This window comes from Homo sapiens, chromosome 1 (genome assembly GCF_000001405.40).
Source record: "Homo sapiens chromosome 1, GRCh38.p14 Primary Assembly".
NCBI lineage: Eukaryota > Metazoa > Chordata > Mammalia > Primates > Hominidae > Homo > Homo sapiens.
In genome coordinates this window covers 13,840,081-13,846,367 of record NC_000001.11, presented here as the reverse complement: position 1 = coordinate 13,846,367, position 6,287 = coordinate 13,840,081, and the positions used below count along the sequence as shown (strand labels likewise).

The following is a 6,287-nucleotide window of genomic DNA, read 5'->3' as shown; positions in this document are numbered from 1 at the left end:
TATCCCAAGAATGCAAGGCAGATTTCTGATTCAAAAATTATTAAAAGTGATATGCCATATTAACAGGCTAAAAAGTAAGTCACATGATGATATCAATTGATGTAGGAAAAGACATTTGACAAAAGTCAACATCTACTTATGACAAAAAACTCTCAGAAAGTCGGAAGAACAGGAACTTCCTCAACTTGATAAAGAACATCTACAAAAGACCTACAGCTAACATTATACTTAATAGCAAAAGACCGAATGCTTTTCCCCTAAGGTTGGAAACAAGGCAAGAATAAATGCTCTCACAGCTCTTATTCAACATAGTTCTGGAAGTTCTAGACAGTGCAATAAAGCCAAAAAAAAAAAGAAAAAGAAAAGAAAAGCATATATGTAAGAAGAAAAAGAAAAAGAAAGAAAGAAGGAAGGAAGGTAGGAAGGAAGGAAGGAAGGGAGTTTCTATTTTCAGATAACACGATTTCCTATAATATATAGAAAAATCCCAAAAAATCTACCAAAAACTCTTAGAACTACAAAGTGAGTTTATCAAAGTCACAACATGCAAGATCTGGCCAGGCGTGGTGGCTCATGCCTGTAATCCCAACACTTTGGGAGGCCAAGGCGGGCAAATCACAAGGTCAGGAGTTCGAGACCAGCCTGGCCAACATGGTGAAACTCCGTCTCTACTAAAAAAATACAAAAAATTAGCTGGGCGTGGTGGCGGATGACTGTAATCCCAGCTACTAGGGAGGCTGAGGCAGGAGAATCGCTTGAACCTGGGAGGCAGAGGTTGCAGTGAGCTGAGATTGTGCCACTGCACTCTAGCCCAGTCAACAGTGTGAGACTCTGTCTCAAAAAAAAAAAAGATACAAGATCTACACCCAAAAAATCAATTGCATTTTCTATACTCACTAGGAATGCATGGACATCCACATTTAAAATATAATACCATTTACAATCATTCAGAAAACGTAATACTCAGATGTAAGTCTAACTAAGTCTATATTGGACTTTTATTCTGAAAACTACATAAAATTCATGAAAGAAATAAAAGAATAACTAGATAAATGAAGAGATACCATGTTCACAGATTGGAAAACTCGACATAGTAAAAATGACAATTCTTCCTAAACTGATAGGAACTTCCTAAACTGTGTATAGGTTTTACACAATTCGTATCCAAATCCCAGCAAGATTTTTTATAGATATAAACGAGACTATTCCAAAGTTTTATAGTAATACAAAGGAACTGTAGTAGTTAAAATAATCCTCGGAAAAAAAGAATAAAGCCTGAGGAATTAAGACTTAATGTAGGGCAGTGCCAAGATGGTGGGCTAGAAGCAGCTCTTGTGTATTGCTGTCATGGAGTGTAAAGAAAAGAACTAATGAACACTGACCCTACAGGCAGATCATCTGAGAAACCACGGTGGGTTCCATCCAGGCAGCAAGGGAACACAGAGAGCAGAGAAGAGCAAAGCTGGGCACCAGCCTCTCTGGGCTCAGCACAGAGCCAGGAGAACCTATCCATATAGGAAAGGGTGAGTGAGTGAGACACCCCCCTCGAGAGTCCATGTAGGGGATCAATCAGTGTGGTTGGAAAAAATTATAGATATAGTTATAGGGAATAGACACAAAGTTTCTTGGAAGGCCAGGGGGTTTGCATGGCTTCAGTAACAGATTTGGCTGAAGGCAGCCTAATCCTCTTTGCCTTTGTTGATAGCAAAAAAAGCAAATATCAAGGGAATGTGGGGCATTTATCTAAATAGCTTATTTATGTGGTCCTAAGACCAACCTTTGATCAACCATGGGTGCATAATTGCTCTCTACTCGGGGGGTCGGCAATATTAATTACCCTCTAATGGTGTTTACTTGAGACTTTTGTCATTTAATCTGTGCTAAATAAATGTGAACTTCACCGGCTTATTGAGGCAATGCTCCACACTCAGAGCAGAGCCTCTTAGCCAGACTGACAGAGAAAATATCTGTGTCAGTGTACGTCTTTCATCCATCACTAGGTCAGGGTCTGTGGGTTGGACCCCCACAGGTCCAAATGAAAGAAAAAATGTTAAAGGCACCTAGAGAGAAGGGGCAGGTCACTTACAAAGGGATCCCCATCAAGCTAACAATGGACCTTTCAGCAGAAATCCTATAAGCCAACAGAATATACATTCTTTTCATTGCCACATGGCACATACTCCAAAATCAACCACACAATTGGACATAAAACAGTACTTAGCAAATTCAAAAAAATGAAGTCAGACCAACCACACTATCAGACCACAGCACAATAAAAGTAGAAATCAATGCCAAGAAAATCACTCAAAACGATATAGTTAAGTGAAAATTAAACAACTTGCTCCTGAGTGATTTTGGGGTAAACAATGAAATCAAGGAAGAAATCAAGAAATTCTTTGAAACTAATGAGAAAAAGATACAACATACTAATATCTCTGGGACACAACTAAGGCAGTATTAAGTGGGAGTTTATAGATCTAAATCCCTATTTCAAAAAGTTAGAAAGATCTCAAATTAACAACCTAACATCACAACTAGAAGAACTAGAGAAGCAAGAGCAAACTAACTCTAAAGCTAGCAGAAGACAAGAAATAACCAAAATCAGAGCTGAGCCAAAGGAAATTGAGACATAAAAAACCATACAAAAGATCAATGAATACAGAAGGTGGTTCTTTGAAAAAGATTAATTAGATAGACTGCTAGCTAGACTAATAAAGAAAAAAAAGAGAGAATATCCAAATAAACACAATTAGAAGTGACAAAGAGGGCATTACCACTGATCCCACAGGAAAAAATATCAGAGACTACTATGAACACCTCTATGCACACAAACTAAAAAATCTAGAAGAAATGGATAATTTCCTAGACACATACAACCTCCCAAGACTGAACCAGGAGGAAACTGAATCCCTGAACAAACCAATAATGAGTTCCAAAATTGAATCAGTAATAAAAAGCTTACCAACCAAAACAAAGTCTGGGACCAGACGAATTTACAGCTGAATTCTACCAGATGTACAAAGAAAAGCTGATACCATTCCTACTGAAACTATTCTAAAAAACTGAGAAGGAGTGATATGGTTTATCTCTGTGACCTCAACCAAATCTCATCTCAAACTGTAATCCCCATAATCCCCACATGATGCTAACCTTATAGAATGAGGTGGGAGGAGTCCCTTCTTGTATTAGTCCATTGTCACACTGCTATAGACATACATGAGGCTAGGTAATTTATAAAGGAAGGGGTTTAATTTACTCACAGTTCTGCATGGCTTGGGAGGCCTCAGGAAACTTGCAATCATGGCAGGAGGGGAAGCAGTCACCTTCTTCACAAGGCTGCAGGAGAGAGAGAAAGTGTGTGAAGGAGGAATTGTCACATACTTCTACAACCCTCAGATCTCGTGAGAACTCACTCACTATCATGAGAACAGTATGCAGAAACTGCCCGCATGATCCAATCATCTCCCATCAGGAGTGAGTTCCTTTATAAATTACCTAGCATCATCCCAATACCAATCCCTGGCAGAGACACAACAAAAAAAGAAACCTTTAGGCCAATGTCCTTGATAAACATAGATGCAAAAGTCCTCAACAAAACACTGCAAGCTGAATCCAGCAGCACATGAAAAAGCTTATCCACCACAGTCAAGTAGGCTTTATCTTTGAGATACAAGGTTGGCTCAACATGTGCAAATCAGTAAATGTAATTCATTTACATTTAGAGAAGTAAAAACAAAAACCACACAATTATCTCAACAGATGCAGAAAAGGCTTTTGATAAAACTCAACATCGCTTCGTGTTAAAAACCCTCAATAAACTAGGCACTGAAGGAACATACTTTAAAATATTAAGAACCACCTATGACAAACCGACAGCCAGCATCACACTAAATGGGCAAAAGCCAGAAGTACAAGCACCCCTTGAAAACCAGCACAAGACAAGGATGCCCTCTCTCACTACTCCAATTCAAAATAGTATTAGAAGTCCTAGCCAGAGAAATTAAGAGAAAGAAATAAAAGGTATCCAAATAGGAATAGAGGAAGTTAAACTATCTCTGTTTGTAAATGAATGATTCCATATCTAGGGAACCCCATAGTCTCTACCCAAAAGCTCCTTGAGCTGAAAACAACTTCAGCAAGTTTCAGGATACAAAATCAATGTATAAAAATCAGTAGCCTTCCTATACACCAACAACATCCATGCTGAGAGCCAAATCAAGAACGTAATCCCATTCATAATTGTCACAAAAAGAATAAAATACATAGGAATATAGCTAACCAGGGAGATGAAAAATCTCCACAACAATTACAAAACACTTGTCAAATAAATCAGAGATGACACAAACAAATGAAAAAGCATTCCGTGCTCATAGATAGGAAGAATCAATATAATAAAAATGGCCATACTCCCCAAAGCAATTTACAGGTTCGATGCTATTCCTATCAAACTACCAATGACATTCTTCACAGAATTAGAAAAAAAAAATTTAAAAATTCATATGGAATCAAAAAAGAGCCTGAATAACCAACGCAATTCTAAGCAAAAAGAACAAAGCTGGAGGCATCATGTTACCTGACTTCAAATTATACTACAGGGCTACAGTAACCAAAACAGCATGGTACTGGTACAAAAACAGACACATAGACCATTGGAAGAGAATATAAAGCCCAGAAATAATGTTGTACACCTACAACCATCTGTTGTTCAACAAAGCTGACAGAAACAGGACTCCTCCATCAATAAATGGTGCAGTGATAACTGGCTAGCCATATGCAGAATATTGAAGCTGGACACCTACCTAACACCACATACAAAAATCCACTCAAGATGGGTTAAAAACTTAAATATAAAACTTAAAACTATAAGAACCTTGGCAGATAATCTAGGAAATACCATTCTGGACACAGGACTTGGCAAAGATTTCACAACAAAAATGCCAAAAGCAATTGCAAGAAAAACAAAAGTTGACAAATGGAATCTAATTAAGCTGAAAACCTTCTACACAGCAAAAGAAACTGTCAACAGAATAAACAGACATCCTAAAGAATGGGAGAAAATATTTGCAAACTATGCATCTGACAAAGATCTAATATCCAGAATCTATAAGGAACTTAAACAAATTTACAACAGCCCCATTAAAAAGTGGGAAAAGGACATGAACAGACATTTTTCAAAAGAAGATATACATGTAGCCAATAAGCATATTAAAAAAATGCTTGACATCACTAATCATTAGAGAAATGCAAATCAAAACCACAATGAGATACCATCTCACACAAGCCAGAATGGCTATTATTAAAACATCAATAAATAACAGATGCTGGCGAAATTGTGAAGAAAAGGGAACACTTTTTTTTCTTTTTTTTAATATATATTTATTATTATTATTATTATTATTATTATTATTATTATTATACTTTAAGTTTTAGGGTACATGTGCACAATGTGCAGGTTAGTTACATATGTATACATGTGCCATGCTGGTGTGCTGCACCCATTAACTCGTCATTTAGCATTAGGTATATCTCCTAATGCTATCCCTGCCCCCTCCCCCAACCCCACAACAGGCCCTGGTGTGTGATGTTCCCCTTCCTGTGTCCATGTGTTCTCATTGTTCAGTTCCCACCTATGAGTGAGAATATGCGGCATTTGGTTTTTTGTTCTTGCGATATTTTACTGAGAATGATGATTTCCAATTTCATCCATGTCCCTACAAAGGACATGAACTCATCATTTTTTATGGCTGCATAGTATTCCATGGTGTATATGTGCCACATTTTCTTAATCCAGTCTATCATTGTTGGACATTTGGGTTGGTTCCAAGTCAAAAAAAAAGGAACAAGTATTCTGCGACTTCCCACTGAGCCTGGGGGTCCTAGTTATACATAAGCCCTTGTGAATATGGGCCACCCCATGAGTGAGGGAGTGAGGGAATGCTACCTGCTGTCACCTCCCCTTATGTAGGCAAGGGTGATTGCCTATGGAGGAGTCTCTCAATCTCCTTGAAGAAAGAAGCTCTTTCTTTCATAATACTTAGTAGAAAGGTCAGATGGCATATAGATTCCCTGTGCCATGTATTTGCTGAGTCTATTGGACAAAGTACTAAACCATATTGAAACTGTTTCCTCATCTCTAAAATGGGAATAGACTTACATATGTCATATGGTCTTTGTAAAGATTCATGAGAATAAGGTTCATTAGGAACACTGCAAGGCCTTCAATATATTTTAACCAATAAAAATGATAGTTATTATAAATGTTTCTTGGACTAAGTTGTTAAAAGTAT

The 6,287-nt window shown here is 37.6% G+C and overlaps 1 annotated feature.

Moving 5' to 3' along the window:
* Positions 1,582–2,156: an enhancer, noted in NCBI's record as "OCT4-NANOG hESC enhancer chr1:14170707-14171281 (GRCh37/hg19 assembly coordinates)". NCBI's record gives its function as "activates a minimal SCP1, AML or CMV promoter by ChIP-STARR-seq in naive H9 embryonic stem cells {active_cell/tissue: H9 hESC(naive)}" and the evidence as "EXISTENCE:reporter gene assay evidence [ECO:0000049][PMID:30033119]".